Consider the following 21,029-nt stretch of genomic DNA (forward strand, 5'->3'; position numbering starts at 1 on the left):
TGGAATAATCAAGAATTTTTTAGTTTCCTATGAGAAAGTATATCTACCTCCAGTGAGGTTGTTTAACAAATAATGTGGTTATTTTCTAGCTTGTCACTAAGGGTGAATTCTCTCTCTTTTTTTTTTTTTTTTTTTTTTTTTTTGAAATGGTGTCTCCCTCTGTCACCCAGGCTGGAGTGCAGTGGTGCAATCTGTGCTCACTGCAAGCTCTGCTTCCGGGTTCATGCCATTCTCCTGCCTCAGCCTCCGGAGTAGCTGGGACTACAGGTGCCCGCCACCACATCCGGCAAATTTTTTGTATTTTTAGTAGAGATGAGGTTTCACTGTGTTAGCCAGGATGGTCTGCTTCTCCTGACCTCGTGATCCGCCCGCCTCGGCCTCCCAAAGTGCTGGGATTACAGGCGTGAGCCACCGTGCCTGGCCGGGAGAATTCTTTTTATCAGTATTTTCATGATCTTTTTTGAAAGTGATGATTATTTGGGAAAGTTACTTTGTGTTATATAAATGAGTGTGCTTTGAGTGGAATCGTGTGGAGAAATCATTTGTGAACAGAAATGGTCAGATGGATCTTGTCAAAGGGCTGACACTCTTCAAAATATTTCAGTCCAGTAAAGTCAATACATCATGAAAGAGGCTTCATCACACTGCACATGAGAACAGACATCCTGACAAGTGGACTGGTGGTATTCAATGTCCAGCAGAGTCCCATTAAAATATGGATTTAAGAAACTGAGCTTTAGTGACTGTAGTACCATGACAGTTTAGGGAAATACTGTAAATTCTGCAGTTGTATTCTTTATATACTGAATATCCCTATATATTCTACATCCATATACTTAACTCTTTATATTGATATACATAAAATCATATATTGTATGTTTTATGGACAATATAAGAGATTGCCAAGGGTAATTTAGATTATTCAAAATTCTAACCTTACAGGCTGACTCTCAAACCCACTCCCTGAATAAGATGAGAGACCACTGAATAGACCTTATTGTTGGCTGTGATAACATTTTTTCTTCAAAAAAGTAGCCAGAACTATTTTGCCATGTGTGACTTTTTTGTTGATTTGGTTACATACCCCCTAAAAGAGCCCTGATTACCTCCTGTCATGGCTGTTAATTTTTTTTATAGGTAATTTAGTTTTGCTTGTCTCTTAGGTGTTTTATGTGTTTTCCTAAAGTTTCTCTTGTGTGTCTTGGTGTGTATATGCAGAATTAAACCAATGTAAAAATTTTGTGTTTTTGTTTAGGCAACTCAGCATATCTGCCACCAAAAATGTAAAGAGGAAAAATGCACTTATGCTGATAAATATACCCAAACACCCTGGAGACGAATTCCTGTAAGTAACATTTGCTCTTAGCCTCCTCTCCAGTCATTTGCTATTTTGATGTTTTATTTCACTCTTTTTACAGCAATCTCTAATGATTTTGAATCTGTCATGGCTGTTAATTTTTTTGTAGGTAATTTATTTTTGCTTGTCTCTTAGGTGTTTATGTGTTTTCCTAAAGCTTCTCTTGTGTGTCTTATGTAAGTGAATGTGCATTTTAATAGCTTTTTCATTCTACATACTATAGTTCATTTTATTTGCGTGTCTACTCTCCTCTTATTGCATGATTTATGAGAGTAGTTCCACATGCCTTAAAGGAAATAGCAGTCCTGTATGCAGTCATCCCACTTTAGCAGCATATGACACTTTGAAAATATATGATTTAGCATATTCCTTTTTTGTTAAAACTTTTCAAATATGTTTATTATAATTACTCAAATGTTGAGGGTGTTAGGAAATATAAATGCACGAAGATACAGACAATAAAAGTTATGTTTTAGGCAGAACTAGGGAATGGTTTATTTTAAATAGGAAGTAACTATGTATTCCATGCTTATTTGTTTTTCAAAAATGTTATATCTCAAAACATGTTTAGTGCTAAAAATACTCTATCATTTAATCTGAGTTCTCAGAACTTAGTGCAGGATGTGTGTGAGCCAGAGAATTATCATATGGACATTAGTCATTCTGCTGTTGTTTGGGGCCAGGTAGTAGACATTTCTTGTTAAGAGATTGCCTAATAAGTCAGCCTTGACTCTTTTGCCTTATATTTAGGAGTGGAATCCTAGTAACACAAAGGAACAGAGAAATATAATGGCTAATATAATCAGCAATTCAGTTTATAAAGCTTAGCCATAAGCCTTTAAAGTTTATAAAAGAGTTTTGTTTCTTTTCATCTAACAAGTATTTTTTTTGTGCTCTGTATAAGATACAATGGTAGGAATTAATTTATTCAACAAAAGTTTGATGATCCCCTTTCATCCCAGATATTTGGCTTTCAAACTAGAAGTGGGGAATTAGGGAAGGAAATACAGACAAATAAGGATTCCTCTGTTTATAAGTACTTCTTAAGAAATTGGGAATGCATTGATGTAGTTAAAGTGCTGTGTAAGTCTATAAGGTTCAAAGGATGTGGGAAAGTCTAGTTGAAAGAATCAAGGAGCTTGGTGAAGAAAATGAAGGTTGTGTTTGAATCATAGAAAGCAAAAGATACCAACAGAAAAAGATGATGTGATATTATTTAATGTCAAAGGCGGTGGAAGCTCATCTGTTTGCAGACAGTTGTTTAATAGAAGACCATGCCCCTTGCTTCTAGATGGAAGTTTGGGCTTTCCAGGTGTCTCCATTTACCCCATAGGGATGTTATGCCTTATAATTGTACTACTAAGAAGACTGGTGATTCCATTAAGCATGATAAGTTCCATTTTGCCATCCTCATGGAAGTCTTTATACCACCTCTGGCTCCTTCAGCCTCACTGTTCTGGAAACTGGATGTTAGTCTTCCTCCTCATCAGACAAAAGTAACTATAAAAAAAGTAACTATAAAAGTTACTATAGGAATCATCTGGCCAAATACCTTTGTTTTGTAGATAAGGTAGCAAAAGCTGGGGAGATTAACTGGCATAGCAAAGTTCCCATAATTAATAAGTGGCTGAGCTAGTACTATAACTTAGGACTCTTGACTGCTAGTTCTAGGTTCTTTTCCCCAAAAGCACATTGAAGAGCCTTTGAAGGAGAGTGGTTTGCTGCCAACAGCAGCAGAGCAAAAATTTGAATGTATTGAGATTTGTCCAAGGGGATTTTGTGTCACTTAATGGCTGCAAATAAGATCTCTGAAGTAGAGAATCAACAGGAAATAAGAGGAAGAAATATAGTAGTAGAAAAGGGGAAAGGAGGAAAAGCAGATATTCACTTGCTTATTCAGCAGATATTTATGTGCCTACTTCATGCCAGGCACTGTATTAATTTGGATGTGTAAATATAAAGAAGAATATAAAAATACATGTGTAAATATAAAGTTCCATCCCTCAAGATGCTTGTAGAAACCTCCAGTGTGCTTAAATGATAGTAAGCTCACTCTTTTTCTGCATGTGAAGAAGCTAAGACTAAGAAGTGACTTATGCAAGTGTTTACACAACTTGTATACAGCAGTCTTATTTTAGTTGCTTTTCTTTTGAATGGTTGCAGGAGGGTGAGGGGGCTAGAAGGAATAGAGAAGAGAAAAGGATCATAGCTCTGGGAAGGGAGGACAGAGGCTTAATCTTAGTGAGAGATCACAATAAGGACTTAACTTCCCTGAGAGGAAAAAAAACAGGTGCCCAGGTTTGCACTGCATGGTAGAAGACTTAGCAGTATACTGTGATAATCCATAGAAACATACTTGTATTTTAAAAGTTATTTAATTTATTTTGAGACAGGGTCTTGGTCTGTCACCCAGGCTAGAGTGCAATGGTGCAATTATGGTCCACTATAGCCTTGACCTCCTGGGCTCAAGTGATCCTCCTGCCTCAGCCTCCCAAGTATCTGGGACCACAGGTGTGCACCACCATGCCTGGCTAATTTTTTTATTTTTTGTAGAGACAGGGGTCTCACACTCCTGGGCTCAGGTGATCTTTTTGCCTCAGCCTCCCCAAATGCTGGGATTACAGACATGAGCCACCATGCCTGACCACATACTTGTATTTTAAATTACTGAGAAAAAAGTATTTTTGGTTGAAAAGGCATAGTTTCAGTAAGAGTGTAATAAGAAAACTCCTCTACAACCAAGTTAGTTTCAATCTAATGTGAGTACAAAGAAATCTTTTGACATATTAAATTATGTAAGTCATTTTCTCAATAGAAATAATAAAATTCAATACCTCTCATTAAAAGCATGAAAAAATAGAATACTAAGAATACTTTATGAGTAACCTGAGGCCAAAATATGTACGTTTAAAAGAGAAGTACTGTAAAGTGGATTTTTCCTTTCCTATTTTTATTGAGAGATAACGATATATTTATTCTATAGCAAATATAGAAAATAGAGAAGCAAAACAACTTAAGAAAAATTTAAAGTACTTAAATCATACAAGCCAATGACAGTCATTGTTAACATTTTATATATGGTCTTCCAGCCTTGTTTGGTGTTGTGTGTATATGTGTATGTGCCATCTGTCATCTCTATTTAGATGGGATTATGTTGTATATGTGGCATTTTAACCTACGTAGGTAGTGGTGATGGTGGTTGCTATTAATATTTGGTTTGATTTTTTTACTAAACCAAAATGAAGAAATGCATTACCTTTAATCAAGTTAAGGAATTAATTCCTTTACTGGATGGTCTTTGTAAGGTTCTTGAAATAAATTACTACAGTTTTTTTTCTGAAAGGTTTATACAGGCTTATACTACCACCAACTAAGTATGACCAGAAAGTGGCTTGGTGGCCGTGATGTTAGGTTGTGTGATTCAAGTGTTTGATGTCATTAGTTTATTTAAAAAAAGCCCCTGATATTTCCCTCCACAAACGAGGAAATACAAGGGCAGGAGGGTTACCCCTTGTGCCCCACACTATCATTTCAGGTGGTACTGGGAAGCCACTCCCAACTATTTATGTTATGACCATTCCTGTTATGTAATGTTTTCTTACCTTACAAATTCTTTCTTCCTCCTGGCCTGAAAACCATTTTATCATGCTATTTTCTGCATATATTCAACCTCAGCTTTTGTGTATATCAATACACAAAATTTTTTATATATTTTATATATATTGATTTTATATATATTGATCCTCAGAATTTTAGGAGTTTTTTTCTGCCTGTAGTAAAATTTGGCTTTCATGCTACAGGTGCTTTTGGTGTTAGAACTGTACTGATAAAGATCAAAACTGTTTGGGTTTGGTTTGGTTATTATTTGTGAGACTGAACCCAGCAAGGGAATAGTGGCTAGTCACCTGGTGGGTGCTCTTCATTTAGGGCAAGACAAAGGTTTCTACTACCGTAGGGAGTTGCCTAAGCCATGCTGTAGGCATAGTACAGGATGTTTTTAAGTATAAGTTTTTAAGAACAGTGTTTTCAGCATTGAGGACCAGAGTGTGAAGCACGTCTTAGTGGAGTAAGGGGTCTATCTTCTGCTTGGGAAAGCAATAATGTAGTGTTATAAACTCCCCTGAGCCTTGCATTATAAAAAGAGGGCAGCCATAGGACCGTATTCCAGAATTGAGAATGCCCTACTCTAGAGCGGCACAGTCCTATACAACTTTCTGTGCTGTCCATTGTAGTAGCCTGTAGCTACATGTGACTGTTGAGCACTTGAAAATGAAGGAAGAGAATTTTAAATTTTGTTTAGTTGTAATTAATTTAAATGTAAATAGTCACATGTAGCTAATTGACATCATTTTGGACAAAGCAGCCCTGGACCTAATGATATCTACTTACATGGATATGGAAAGCTACCTAGAACAATAAGTAAAGGGCAAGTCAGTAAAAGCAGTTTTCAGAAGAAATGAAGGAAAATAAAAAACATGGAGTTCAGATTTAGGTGGAGGAAAAAAGAGGGAAAAGAGATAAGAATGAGCCGTAAGAGCAGAAAATGATACTTCCAGAGGAAAGTGGGGCAATTATTTTTCTTATCTGAGGGGCAAAATACCCGGATACAATGGTGAAATGAGTAACGCGAAAAGAAGAATAACAATATGGAAGATGCCTAATCATTCACATGAAAATAGTTGATATTACTGTGAATACTGCTGGAGGTTGTTGGTTATGCGAGAAATCAAGATTCATTTTAAACATAAAAACTTACGAAACTATTTTTAAGCATAGTGTACAGATCCATGTACAAGCATATTCTTAAAAATTAGCATTATCTTGGACTGAATTTATTTTTATGTATTTCCAATACTGTTTTAAAAGCATTTAACATCAGTATTTAAAAATATGAATATTCTGCACGTTAAGTAAATTGTAAAATCTTATGATATGTACCTTTTGTAGTCCATTTGTTTGAACACCTCAAGTTAACCAGAGAAGCCAAAATATTAGAAAAAAGAAACATTTCTGGACTCATACCTTCAAATGCCTTATTACTTATCCCCTTGAATCTCTACGCAGGGAGAACAGGTTAGACCCAAAGGATCTACCTGACCTGTCATGTAATTACCTGACCTGGATTACTCTGAAAATTGAGTACATGAATACACAGACTGTTGTATCGGTATCAGTGTGAAAAGGTGCCTACAAGTTAAAATTCTGAATGGGCACAATTCGATCTAATGCTAATTTTCTCTCATATTTTTAAGAACTAACTCTGTTATATATAGCAAAGAGGCAAGAAAAGGTGATTTTATATACATTAAAAATGATCTGTTGGAATTATAGTACTGAATCAAAGATTAATCCATGTTACGGTATATATAAAAGATATGCATATGTAATTTATATAAGTTCAGCAATTGGAATATGGTCAGCATTGTCAACCACCCTTTTTGTGCTTAGAATTAGGTTTTTGGTCACAGCACTTTGGGAGGCTGAGGCGGGTGGATCACCGGAGGCTGGGAGTTTGAGACCAGCCTGACCAACATGGAGAAACCCCGTCTCTACTAAAAATACAAAAATTAGTCAGGCGTGGTGGTGCATGCCAATAATCCGAGCTACTCGGGAGGCTGAGGCAGGAGAATCACTTGAACCTGGGAGGTGGAGGTTGTGGTGAGCTGAGATTGCACAATTGCACTCCAGCCTGGGCAGCAAGAATGAAACTCTGTCTCAAAAAAAAAAAAAAAAGACTTAGGTTTTTGGGCCTCAGATATACTGGGTCAAGTATTTTCCCATCATAAATATTTATAAAATAGAAAAGGAAAAAGCAGAAAACTATCACAGTTACATCACAAAAATCACATCAAATGTTTATAATTTCCAAAGGAGACAGATTTTACCTAGTTTCTAGCAACCGTGGAAATTTATCAGCAAAGAACTCCACTCTATTTTTTCTTGCCTGAGAAATGGGATGGAACGCTAACCAAAAGACAGTGCAGGCAAACGATTTATCTTATGAATAATCTCCCCCAAATCCATTTTCTTAGACCATATTCTTTCCTGATTTGGAAATGGGCAAAATTATTGGTTAATTTTTATGTTGGAAAAATGTCAATTTTTTTTCTTTTCTTTTTTTTTTTTTTGAGATGGAATCTCTCTCTCTTGCCCAGGCTCAAGTCAGTGGCATGATCTCAGCTCACTGCAACATCTGCCTCCCTGTTCAAGAGATTCTCCCACCTCAGCCTCCCAAGTAGCTGATACCACAGGTGCATCCCACCACACCCGGCTAATTTATATATATATATATATATATATATATATATATATATATATATAATTTTTTTTTTTTTTTGAGACGGAGTCTCGCTCTGTCGTGATCCTGGCTCACTGCAAGCTCCACCTCCCGGGTTCACACCATTCCCCTGCCTCAGCCTCCCAAGTAGCTGGGACTACAGGTGCCCGCCACTATGCTTGGCTAATTTTTTGTATTTTTTTTAGTAGAGACGGGGTTTCACCGCGTTAGCCAGGATGGTCTCTATCTCCTGATCTCGTGATCCACCTGCCTCTGCCTCCCAAAGTGCTGGGATTACAGGTGTGAGCCACCGCACCCAGCCCTAATTTCTATATTTTTAGTAGAGATGGGGTTTCACCATATTGGCCAGGCTGGTCTTGAACTCCTGACCTCAGGTGATCTGTCCGCCTCGGCCTCCCAAAGTGCTGGGACCACAGGCATGAGCCATCCACCATGCCCAGCCAAATGTCCTGATTTTAAATTTTAATGAGCCCATTTATTTCTCTGGAGAGACGTTGCATGCATGTGTGCATGCACGTGTGTGTGTGTGTGTGTGTGTGTGTTTCAAAGGGAATTACTTCTTTGCTAAGGCCTTTTATTTGTATTCACTATTACTTATATTTTTAAATGCCACTAAAAGTATTTTTAGAGAAAATCACATATACATTGGTGTTTAAATAAGTGATATTTATGATCTGGTCATACAGTTATTTTTAAATTATTCAATGTTTTACTCAATATTAGACATTGGCCATGGAATACAGCCTGTGTTTTGATGATCTGAATGTTGACAGGAGCCATCTGTGTTGCTGAGACATTGTGTGGCATGCAGAATTTATGACAACACAAGAATTCTTTTATGTTTGTCATTTCTTCTATTTTTTTTTAAACATTAGTGCTGTGACTTTCTTTCATGTATACAGGTTAAACCAATAACCGAAAAAACATAATTGTTTCTTAAGGATACGAACAAATTAAATATGGATATTATAGCAGTTGAGTGGTTTATTGGTTGTAAGTTTACAGTTACCTAAATCTGTATTTTTCAATACCAGATACTAGAACTATAGAAGGCATTTTTGAAACTTTGTTTAAAGTATCCATTGGAAGAAGCAAAGTTTGCCTGTAGTGTAATTACAAAAGAGTGATAAGAAGTTGCAAAAAATGTGGAGATCTTTTTTATTTTTCAACCAATTTTCCACATTAGTTACATTTTACATAATTGTAGTACAATATCAAAACCAGGAAATTGACATTAGTGATGGTGTGTGTGCACGCTTCTGTGCCATTTTATAACTTGTGTAGTAACTGTGCCATTTTATAACTTGTGTAGTAATGATCATCATATTTAAGGTATAGAACTATTGTACCACCACAGCATTTTCCCATGTGTGGTACCTCTTTGCATTCTAACCATTCTCACTTTCTCTCACCATTCCTAACCTCTGGTAACCACTAAAACTGTTTTACATCTTTATAATTTTGTTATTTTCAGATTTTTTATAAATAGTATCTTACAGTGTTGAACTTTGGAGCTTGGCTTTTTAAAACTAGCATAACACCCTGGAGATCCATTCAAGTAGTTGTGTGCATCAGTAGTTAGTTTCTTTTTATTGCTGAGTACTGTTCCATGATATGGGTGTACCACAGTTTAAATAAACTGTTCAAATAAATAATAAAGATGTTGATTCTCCCAATTTATGAATATGGTATGTCTCTCCATTAATTTAAGCATTTTTGATTTCTTTAATCAGCATTTTTCAGTTTTCAGAACACAGTTCACTACATGCTTTTTTAATTATTATTATTATTTAAGTTCTAGGATACATGTGCACAACGTGCAGGTTTGTTACATATGTCTACATGTGCCATGTTGGTGTGCTGCACCTATTAACTCGTCATTTACATTAGGTATATCTCCTAATGCTCTCCCTACCACCTCCCCCAACCCCACAACAAGCCCCGGTGTGTGATGTTCCCCTTCCTGTGTCCAAGTGTTCTCATTGTTCAATTCCCATCTATGAGTGAGAACATGCGGTGTTTGTTTTTTTGTTCTTGCGATAGTTTGCTGAGAATGATGGTTTCCAGCTTCATCCATGTCCCTACAAAGGACATGAACTCATCCTTTTTTATGGCTGCATAGTATTCCATGGTGTATATGTGCCACATTTTCTTAATCCAGTCTATCATTGATGGACATTTGGGTTGGTTCCAAGTCTTTGCTATTGTGAATAGTGCTGCAGTAAACATACGTGTGCATGTGCCTTTATAGCAGCATGATTTATAATCCTTTGGGTATATATCCAGTAATGGGATGGCTGGGTCAAATGGTATTTCTAGTTCTAGATCCTTGAGGAATCACTACACTATCTTCCACAATGGTTGAACTAGTTTACACTCCCACCAACAGTGTAAAAGTGTTCCTATTTCTCCACATCCTCTCCAGCACCTGTTGTTTCCTGACTTTTTAATGATTGCCATTCTAACTGGTGTGAGATGGTATCTCATTGTGGTTTTGATTTGCATTTCTGTGATGGCCAGTGATGATGAGCTTTTTTCATGTGTCTGTTGGCTGCATAAATGTCTTCTTTTGAGAAGTGTCTGTTCATATCCTTTGCCCACTTGTTGATGGGGTTGTTTGTTTTTTTCTTGTAAATTTGTTTGAGTTCTTTGCAGATTCTGGATATTAGCCCTTTGTCAGATGAGTAGATTGCAAAAATTTTCTCCCCTTCTGTAGGTTGCCTGTTCACTCTGATGGTAGTTTCTTTTGCTGTGCAGAAGCTCTTTAGTTTAATTAGATCCCATTTGTCTATTTTAGCTTTTATTGCCATTGCTTTTGGTGTTTTAGACATGAAGTCCTTGCCCATGCCTATGTCCTGAATGGTACTGCCTAGGCTTTCTTCTAGAGTTTTTATGGTTTTAGGTCTAACATTTAAGTCTTTAATCCATCTTGAATTAATTTTTGTATAAGGTATAAGGAAGGGATCCAGTTTCAGCTTTCTACATATGGCTAGCCAGTTTTCCCAGCACCATTTATTAAATAGGGAATCCTTTCCCCATTTCTTGTTTTTCTCAGGTTTGTCAAAGATTAGATGGTTGTAGATGTGTGGTATTATTTCTGAGGGCTCTGTTCTGTTCCATTGGTCTATATCTCTGTTTTGATACCAGTACCATGCTGTTTTGGTTACTGTAGCCTTGTAGTATAGTTTGAAGTCAGGTGGCATGATGCCTCCAGCTTTGTTCTTTTGGCTTAGGATAGTCTTGAAAATGCGGGCTCTTTTTTGGTTCCATGTGAACTTTAAAGTAGTTTTTTCCAATTCTGTGAAGAAAGTAATTGGTAGCTTGATGGGGATGGCATTGAATCTATAAATTACCTTAGGCAGTAAGGCCATTTTCATGATATTGATTCTTCCTACCCATGAGCGTGGAACGTTCTTCCATTTGTTAGTGTCCTCTTTTATTTCGTTGGGCAGTGGTTTGTAGTTCTCCTTGAAGAGGTCCTTCATGTCCCTTGTAAGTTGGATTCCTATGTATTTTATTCTCTTTGAAGCAATTGTGAATGGGAGTTCTGTCATGATTTGGCTCTCTGTCTGTTATTGGTGTATAAGAATGCTTGTGATTTTTGCACAATGATTTTGTATCCTGAGACTTTGCTGAAGTTGCTTATCAGCTTAAGGAGATTTTGGGCTGAGACGATGGCGTTTTCTAGATATACAATTATGTCATCTGCAAACAGGGACAATTTGACTTCCTCTTTTCCTAATTGAATACCCTTTATTTCTTTCTCCTGCCTGATTGCCCTGGCCAGAACTTCCAACACTATGTTGAATAGGAATGGTGAGAAAGGGCATCCCTGTCTTGTGCCAGTTTCAAAGGGAATGCTTCCAGTTTTTGCCCATTGAGTATGATATTGGCTGTGGGTTTTTCATAAATAGTTCTGATTATTTTGAAATACGTCCCATCAATACCTAATTTATTGAGAGTTTTTAGCATGAAGCGCTGTTGAATTTTGTCAATGGCCTTTTCTGCATCTATTGAGATAATCATATGGTTTTTGTCTTTGGTTCTGTTTATATGCTGGATTATGTTTATTGATTTGCGTATGTTGAACCAGCCTTGCATCCCAGGGATGAAGCCCACTTGATCATGGTGGATAAGCTTTTTGATGTGCTGCTGTATTTGGTTTGCCAGTGTTTTATTGAGGATTTTTGCATCGATGTTCATCAGGGATATTGGTCTAAAATTCTCTTTTTTTGTTGTGTCTCTGCCAGTCTTTGGTATCAGGATGATGCTGGCCTCATAAAATGAGTTAGGGAGGGTTCCCTCTTTTTCTATTGATTGGAATAGTTTCAGAAGGAATGATACCAGCTCCTCCTTGTACCTCTGGTAGAATTCGGCTGTGAATCCATCTGGTCCTGGACTTTTTTTGTTTGGTAGGCTCTTAATTATTGCCTCAATTTCAGAGCCTGTTGTTGGTCTATTCAGGGATTCAAGTTCTTCCTGGTTTAGTCTTGGGAGGGTATATGTGTCGAGGAATTTATCCATTTCTTTTAGATTTTCTAGTTTATTTGCATAGAGGTGTTTATGGTATTCTCTGATGGTAGTTTGTATTTCTGTGGGATCAGTGGTGATATCCCCTGTATCATTTTAATTGCGTCTATTTGATTCTTCTCTCTTTTCTTCTTTATTAGTCTTGCTAGCAGTATATCAATTTTGTTGACATTTTCAAAAAACCAGCTCCTGGATTCATTGATTCTTTTGAAGGATTTTTTGTGTCTATTTCCTTCAGTTCTGCTCTGATCTTAGTTATTTCTTGCCTTCTGCTGGCTTTTGAATGTGTTTGCTCTTGCTTCTCTAGTTCTTTTAATTGCGATGTTAGGGTGTCAATTTTAGATCTTTCCTGCTTTCTCTTGTGGGCATTTAGTGCTATAAATTTCCCTCTACACACTGCTTCAAATGTGTCCCAGAGATTCTGGTATGTCGTGTCTTTGTTCTCATTGGTTTCAAAGAACATCTTTATTTCTGCCTTCATTTCGTTATGTACCCAGTAGTCATTCAGGAGCAGGTTGTTCAGTTTCCATGTAGTTGCACAGTTTTGAGTGACTTTATTAATCCTGAGTTCTAGTTTGATTGCACTGTGGTCTGAGAGACTGTTTGTTATAGTTTCTGTTCTTTTACATTTGCTGAGGAGTGCTTCACTTCAACTCTGTGGTCAATTTTGGAATAAGTGTGATGTGGTGCTGAGAAGAATGTATAGTCTGTTGATTTGGGGTGGAGAGTTCTGTAGATGTCTGTTAGGTCCGCTTGGTGCAGAGCTGAGTTCAATTCCTGGATCTCGTTGTTAACTTTCTGTCTCATTGATCTGTCTAAGGTTGACAGTGGGGTGTTAAAGTCTTTCATTATTATTGTGTGGGAGTCAGAGTCTCTTTCTAGGTCTCTAAGGACTTGCTTTATGAATCTGGGTGCTCCTGTATTGGGTGCATATATATTTAAAATAGTTAGCTCTTCTTGTTGAATTGATCCCTTTACCATTATGTAATGGCCTCCTTTGTCTCTTTTGATCTTTGTTGGTTTAAAGTCTGTTTTATCAGAGACTAGGATTGCAACCCCTAACTTTTTTTTGTTTTCCATTTGCTTGGTAGATCTTCCTCCATCCCTTTATTTTGAGCCCATGTGTGTCTCTGCACATGAGATCGGTCTCCTGAATATAGCACACTGATGGGTCTTGACTCTTTATCCAATTTGCCAGTCTGTGTCTTTTAATTGGAGCATTTAGCCCATTTACATTTAAGGTTAATATTGTTATGTGTGAATTTGATCCTGGCATTATGATGTTAGCTGGTTATGTTGCTCGTTAGTTGATGCAGTTTCTTCCTAGCATCGTTGGTGTTTACAATTTGGCATGTTTTTGCAGTGGCTGGTACCAGTTGTTCCTTTCCATGTTTAGTGCTTCCTTCAGGAGCTCTTTTAGGGCAGGCCTGGTGGTGACAAAGTCTCTCAGCATTTGTTTATCTGTAAAGTATTTTATTTCTCCTTCACTTATGAAGCTTAGTTTGACTGGATATGAAATTCTGGGTTGAAAATTCTTTTCTTTAAGAATGTTGAATATTGGCCCCCACTCTCTTCTGGCTTGTAGAGTTTCTTCTGAGAGATCCGCTGTTAGTCTGACGGGTTTCCCTTTGTGGGTAACCCAGCCTTTCTCTCTGGCTGCCCTTAACATTTTTTCCTTCATTTCAGCTTTGGTGAATCTGACAATTATGTGTCTTGGAGTTGCTCTTCTCGAGGATTATCTTTGCGGCGTTCTCTGTATTTCCTGAATTTGAACATTGGCCTGCCTTGCTAGGTTGGGGAAGTTCTCCTGGATAATATCTTGCAGGGTGTTTTCCAACTTGGTTCCATTCTCCCCGTCACTTTCAGGTACACCAATCAGATGTAGATTTGGTCTTTTCACATAGTCCCATATTTCTTGGAGGCTTTGTTCATTTCTTTTTACTCTTTTTTCTCTAAATTTCTGTTCTCGCTTCATTTCATTCATTTGATCTTCAATCACTGATACCCTTTCTTCCAGTTGATCAAATCGGCTACTGAAGCTTGTGCATTCGTCACGTAGTTCTCGTGCCATGGTTTTCAGCTCCATCAGGTCATTTAAGGACTTCTCTACACTGGTTCTTCTAGTTAGCCATTCATCTAATCTTTTCTCAAGGTTGTTACCTTCTTTGCATGGGGTTCGAACTTCCTCCTTTAGTTTGAAGAAGTTTGATCTTCTGAAGCCTTCTTCTCTCAACTTGTCGAAGTCATTCTCCGTCCAGCTTTGTTCCATTGCTGGCGAGGAGCTGCGTTCCTTTGGAGGGGGAGAGGTGCTCTGATTTTTAGAATTTTCAGCTTTTCTGCTCTGTTTTTTCCCCATCTTTGTGGTTTTATCTACCTTTGGTCTTTGATGATGGTGACCGACAGATGGGATTTTGGTGTGGATGTCCTTTCTGTTTGTTAGTTTTCCTTCTAATAGTCAGGACCCTCAGCTGCAGGTCTGTTGGAATTTGCTGGAGGTCCACTCCAGACCCTGTTTGCCTGGGTATCAGCAGCGGAGGCTGCAGAACAGCGAATATTGCTGAACAGCAAATGTTTCTGCCTGATCATTCCTCTGGAAGCTTCGTCTCAGATGGGTACCCAGCCGTGTGAGTTTTCAGTCTGCCCCTACTGGGGGGTGCCTCCCAGTTAGGCTACTTGGAAGTCAGGGACCCACTTGAGGAGGCAGTCTGTCCATTCTCAGATCTCAAACCCCATGCTGGGAGAACCACTACTCTCTTCAAAGCTATCAGACAGGGACATTTAAGTCTGCAGAGGTTTCTGCTGCCTTTTGTTTGGCTGTGCCCTGCCCCCAGAGGTGGAGTCTACAGAGGCAGGCAGGCCTCCTTGAGCTGAGGTGGGCTCCACCCAGTTCGAGCTTCCCGGCCACTTTCTTTACCTACTCAAGCCTCAGCAATGGCAGACACCCCTCCCCCAGCCTTGCTGCCACCTTGCAGTTCAATCTCAGACTGCTGTGCTAGCAATGAGGGAGGATCCATGGGCGTGGGACCCTCCGAGCCAGGCACAGGATATAATTTCCTGGTGTGCCGTTTGCTAAGACTGTTGGAAAAGTGCAGTATTAGAGTGGGAGTGACCTGATTTTCCAGGATCCGTCTGTCACCCCTTCCCTTGGCTAAGAAAGGGAATTCCTTGACCCCTTGTGCTTCCCGGGTGAGGGGATGCCTCGCCCTGCTTCCACTCACACTCTGTGGGCTGCATACACTGTCCTGTCCCCACTGTCCAACAAGCCCCAGTGAGATGAAACTGGTACCTCAGTTGGAAATGCAGAAATCACCCCTCTTCTGGGTTGCTCACGCTGGGAGCTGTAGACTGGAGCTGTTCCTATTCGGCCATCTTCTTTGGTGTAATCTACATGCTTTCTTAGATTTCTTTCTGGGGTGGTTATAAGTGATACTGTTCGTTAAATTTCACTTTCCCTGTGCTGATTGCTGATACTTAGAAAAAAAATTGATTTCTGGGCCATGTGCGGTGGCTCATGCCTGTAATCCCAGCACTTTGAGAGGCTGAAGTGGGCGGATCACGAGGTCAGGAGATGGAGACCATCCTGGCTAACACAATGAAACTCTGTCTCTACTAAAAATACAAAATATTATCCAGGCATGGTGGCGGGCACCTGTAGTCCCAGCTATTCAGGAGGCTGAGGCAGGAGAATGGCATTATCCCGGGAGGTGGATAATTGCAGTGAGCAGAGATAGCGCCACTGCACTCCAGCCTGGGTGGCAGAACGAGACTCTGTCTCCAAAAAAAAAAAAAAAGAAATAAAATTGATTTCTGTATATTGACCTTGTATTTTGTGAACTTAGTAAACTCACTTATAAGTTTGGAGAGTTTTTCTGTAGTTTGGGGTTTTCTATGTTGACCATTATGTCATCTGTAAATAGTAACAGTGTTCTCACTTTTTGATCTGATGTCTTTTATTTCCCTTCTTTGCATTATGTCACCAGCTTGGATTTTCATTACTATGTTGAATAAGAATTATGAGAATGGGCATTCTTGCCTTTTTCCTAATCTAAGGGGAAAAAGCATTCAGTCTTTCACCTTTGGGTAGATGTTAGCTATCGATATTTGGGAGATGGTTTTTATCAAGTTGAAGTAGTTTCCCTCTATTCCTAGATTGCTAAGAGTTTTTATCATGAATATGAGTTGGATTTTGTTACTTTTGTTTTGGTAATTGCTATGAACCTATGAGTTTTCTTCTTTAGCCTGTTGATTGCACTGATTGATTTTCTAATAGTAAACTAATCTCATAGGCCTGAAATAAACCCCCTTTAGTCATGGTATGTAGTTCTTTTTATATATTCCTGAATTCTAGTTAGTAGTATTTTGTTAAAGATTTTTACATCTGTATTCTGGGGGTTAATGCTTTTTATTCTTTATTTTTCTTTTGTTGTACTGTCTTTGTCTGCTTTTGTATTAAGTTAAACCTGGCCTCATAAATACTTTGGAAGGTGTTTTCTTCTCGTCTGCTTTATGGAAGAGATAGTGTAGAATTAATGTTTAATTCTTCTTTAAACATTTAGTAGAATTTAGCAGTAAAATTATCTGGGCCTGGAGATTTCTTTTTTGGGAGTTTTAAAGTTATAAATTCAACTTCTTTAATAGTTATTGACCTATTCAAATGACTTCTTTCATCTTGGATGAATTTTGATAGTTTGTGGTTTTGAGGAATTGGCCCTTTTTCTCAGTTGTCAAATATATGACTGTAAAGTTGTTCATAATATTCCTTTATTACCTTAATGGCTGGAGGGTCTGTAGTGATATTCCTTATTTCATTCTGATTTTGGTAATTTACCTTCTCTCTTTTTCTTTGTCAGTCTTGCTAGTGGTTTGTCAATTTTACAGATCTTTTCAAAGAACCAACATTTTGTTTTCTTGATTTTCTCTGTTTTTCTATGTTCAATTTCAAGGATCCTGCTCTTTTATAGTGAAAGTGAGTTTATTAGAGAAGTAAAGAAACAAAAGAATTGTTACTCCATAGACAGAGCCCTGAGGGCTGCTAGTTGGCTATTTTTAATGGTTATTTCTCAATCATATGCTAAGCAAGGGGTGGATTATTCATGAGTTTTCCGAGAAAGGAACGAGAATTTCCCAAAACTTTAGGTTTCTCTTCCTTTTAAACTATATAGGGCAGCAGTCCCCAACCTTTTTGACATCAGGGACTGGTTTCATGGAAGACAACTTTTCCACAGATGGGGAGAGGGTTGTGGGAGCAGTGTGGATGGTTTCAGGATGATTCAAGTGCATTACATTTATTGTGCACTTTATTTCTATTATGATTACATTGTAATATATAATGAAATAATTATACAACTCACCATAATGTGGAATCAGTGGGAGCCCTGAGCTTATTTTTATGCAGCTAGATGGTCCTGTCTGGGGGTGATGGGAGACAGTGACAGATTATCTGGCATTAGATTATCATAAGGAGCAAGCAACCTAGATTTCTCGCATGTGCAGTTCACAATAAAGTTCCTGCTTCTGTGAGAATCTAATGCTGCTGCTGATCTTACTGGAGGCAGAGTTCAGGTGATAATGCAAGCAGTGGGCAGTAGCTGTAAATACAGATGAAGCTTCAACTCAACTGGCCTGCTGCTCACCTCCTGCTGTGTTGTCAGGTTGCTAATAGCCCATGGATTGGTACTGGTCCGTGGCCCAGGGGTTGGAGACCCATGATGTAGGGTAACTTCCAGACATTCCGATGGCATTTGTGAACTGTCAGGTGCTGGTGGGAGTGTCTTTTGGCATGTTAATTTATTATAATTAGCATATAATGAGCAGTAAGGATGACCAGAGGTCACTTTCATTGCCATCTTGGTTGTGGTGGGTTTTGGCCAGCTTCTTTACTGCAACATGTTTTATCGGCAGGGTCTTTGTGAACTGTTATCTTAATGCCAACCTTCTCATCCAGTGACTCATCCGGTGACTGAGAATGCCTAACCTCCTGGGAATGTAGTCCAGCTGGTCTTATCCTCATTTTACCCAGCCCCTGTTCAAGATGGAATTGCTCTGATTCAAATGCTTCTATTTCCCCCTCCCCTTTACAAGGGGACCCTTAATCCTAAAGGTTGTAGAGGGACCAAGATCCATCTTCTGTAGTATCCTTTGGCTTAATAGGGGTGATGATATTCCTTCCTAACTTGTAGGGTCTCTTGTATTCAAGGTAGAGTGAAGCGCAGTCATAAAGCAGCTATGTGGTGAAAGCCATTCATAACTCTGAGTCCTGACAAAAGGCGATATTTGGGAGACCAAAGTATTATCTGTTCATGGTTCGTTATGGAATATATTACCGGAAAGGGGTCTGATCCAGACCCCAAGAGAGGGTTCTTGGATCTCACACAGGAAATTTTGGGTGAGTCCACAGAGTAAAGTGAAAATGAGTTTATTAGAGAAGTAAAGAAACAAAAGAATGGTTACACCACAAAACTGCTGATGTCTGCTTTTTTTTTTTTTTCTTTCTTCTTACTTTGGGTTTATTTTGGTCTTATTTTCTCTAGTTTCTTAAGACATCAGTTTAGCTTATTGATGGAATTTTTTTCTCTTTTCTGTCTCTACTTCAGCTGTTTCCTACATATTATATATTTTTTCAGCTGTTTCCTATACATTATGTATTTTCTTTTGCATTCAGTTTGATATGGTTTTTTTTTTTTTTCTCTTGAGACTTCCTCTCTGACTGACCCATGGATAACTTAGGGGTATGAATGTTAGTATCCAAGTGTTTGGACATATTCTTGTCATCTTTCTGTTATTGATTTCTAATTTGATCCCATTGTGGTCAGAGAACACATTCTGTATAATTTCAATATTTTAACTTTGTTGTGGTTTGTCTTGTGGCCCAAACTATGGTCTGTCTTGGTAAATGTTCTGTGGATTCTTGAAAAGATTGCTTTTTGCTATTGTTGGATAGAATATTCTGTAAGCATTGACTAGGTGCTGTTGTTAGTGGTGTCCTTGAGTTTTATGTCATTGCTGATTTTCTTGTCTAGTTATTTTTATCAGTTGTTGGGATGGGGTGTTGAGCTCTCCAACTGTAATTGTAGATTTGGCGATTCTCTCAGTTTTATGAGATTATGCTTCAGCTACTATACGTTTCTGCAGTTTGGTGTGCTGTTAGGATCACTGTGTCTTCTTGGTAGATTAACCTTTTTATCATTTTGTGAGGTCTCTTTCTATATGTGGGTATTCTTTTTGCTCTGAAGTCTATTTGATAATAATATAAGCACATCAAATTTCTTTTGTTTTTTTTTTTTGGCGTGGTATATCGTTTTCATCTTTTATTTTAAAATATATATATTTTTATACCTAACATGAATTTCCTGTAATCTGCATATAGTTAGGCCATGAATCTACCAATCTGTCTTTTAATGGGTATATTTCAGCCCTTTATATTTAATGTAATTTTTGCTATGTAAGTCTGCCATTTTATTTTTTTCTTTTTTCTTTATTTCTGTTTTTTCTTTTCTGTATATTAGTTTTTTAATAATTCTATTTTTATTTATATATAGTGTTTTGAGTTTATGTCTTTATAATAATGTTTTAGTTGTTGCTGTAGGCATTATATTTCACACACACATACATATATATTTAACTATATATAGTCTACTACATGTAGAAACTTTATGTCCTTTTAAGTCCCTTTTCCTCTCCCATTTATAAGTTTCTTAAATATTTTTTATGCGTATTTTAAGAAGTACATAAGAAAATGTCACAGCCATACAAGGGTGGAGGCCTACACTCCCCAGTCCTCCCTTTCTTTTTTCTTTTTTGAGACGGAGTCTCGCTCTGTCGCCCAGGCTGGAGTGCAGTGGGGTGATCTCGGCTCACAGCAAGCTCCGCCTCCTGGGTTCATGCTGTTCTCCTGCCTCAGCCTCCCAAGTAGCTGGGACTACAGGCGCCCGCCACCACGCCCGGCTAATTTTTTGTATTTTTAGTAGAGATGGGGTTTCACCATGTTAGCCAGGATGGTCTGGATCTCCTGACCTCGTGATCTGCCCGCCTCGGCCTCCCAAAGTGCTGGGATTACAGGCATGAGCCACCGCGCCCGGCCTTCCCAGTCCTCCCTTTCTGATGGGAATGGGGGCTGGGGCCACAGGTTTTTCTGTGGTGTTAGGTAGATTACTGGATACAAGTTTCCTGCATTGCTAGTCTTCCTCTTTCCTGATCCTTTGGCTAGAGTGTGCAGGCTTTCTTAAATTTTTTTTTTGTGTGTGTTCCTTGTCATTTCCAGGGGCTGGCTTCTCTATCACTCATTTTAGGATACATTAGGCAAAAAGAAAATCACCATATTTTTCCTTGGGTCCCAAGCTGGTCTCACTTTTTCTCTCTACCTTTCAGAATATTGTGTTTTATATATAGTGCCCAGGGTTTTTAGCTGTATTTGACAGCAGGAAAAGGGAGAAGTATGTCTACTCCATCTTTTCCTGAAACTGGAATTCCCTGTTCTATTAAATGCTGATCAGAGTATGTTATTTCTACTCTCTATAAGTAAATTGACAAGAAGCTAAGTAGTTGACACCAAGGAAAGTAAGAGAGCTATTATTTTCAGGGTGGTTATATTTAATAGAAGAATTTTTAAGATACTCAAATCAAAGTAATGAAAAGAGGAAGAAAGATTCCACCAATTGCTGTGGGTGTTTATAAACAAGAATGATCATAATTAATTTAGGCAGGATCAGGAAAAGCTTTTAGGAAATGGGTTTGAAAGAACCTAAGGGGGCTGGATAAGATTTTGACAGATGGGTAGAGAAGTGGAAGACGCATTGTAGGTGGCAGAAATAAAATGAGTAACATTCTTTGTCTTTCTGGGCATAA

General features: G+C 38.2%; 1 protein-coding gene across 14 annotated transcripts in view; it reads left to right on the forward strand.

Moving 5' to 3' along the window:
* The window catches only part of CCSER2 (coiled-coil serine rich protein 2), a 189,929-nt gene that overhangs the window by 147,731 nt on the left and 21,169 nt on the right, over positions 1-21,029 (forward strand). For 13 of the 14 annotated variants that reach the window (NM_001351290.2, XM_005269905.5, NM_001351292.2 and 10 more), the window contains one exon: positions 1,256-1,345. The exons of the other annotated variant lie outside the window; for it this stretch is intronic. In NM_001351290.2, coding sequence (NP_001338219.1) covers positions 1,256-1,345 — 90 coding nt within the window. The remainder of the gene's footprint in view (positions 1-1,255; positions 1,346-21,029) is intronic. 14 annotated transcript variants of the gene reach the window in all.

Source organism: Homo sapiens, chromosome 10 (assembly GCF_000001405.40).
Source record: "Homo sapiens chromosome 10, GRCh38.p14 Primary Assembly".
Taxonomy (NCBI): Eukaryota; Metazoa; Chordata; class Mammalia; order Primates; family Hominidae; genus Homo; species Homo sapiens.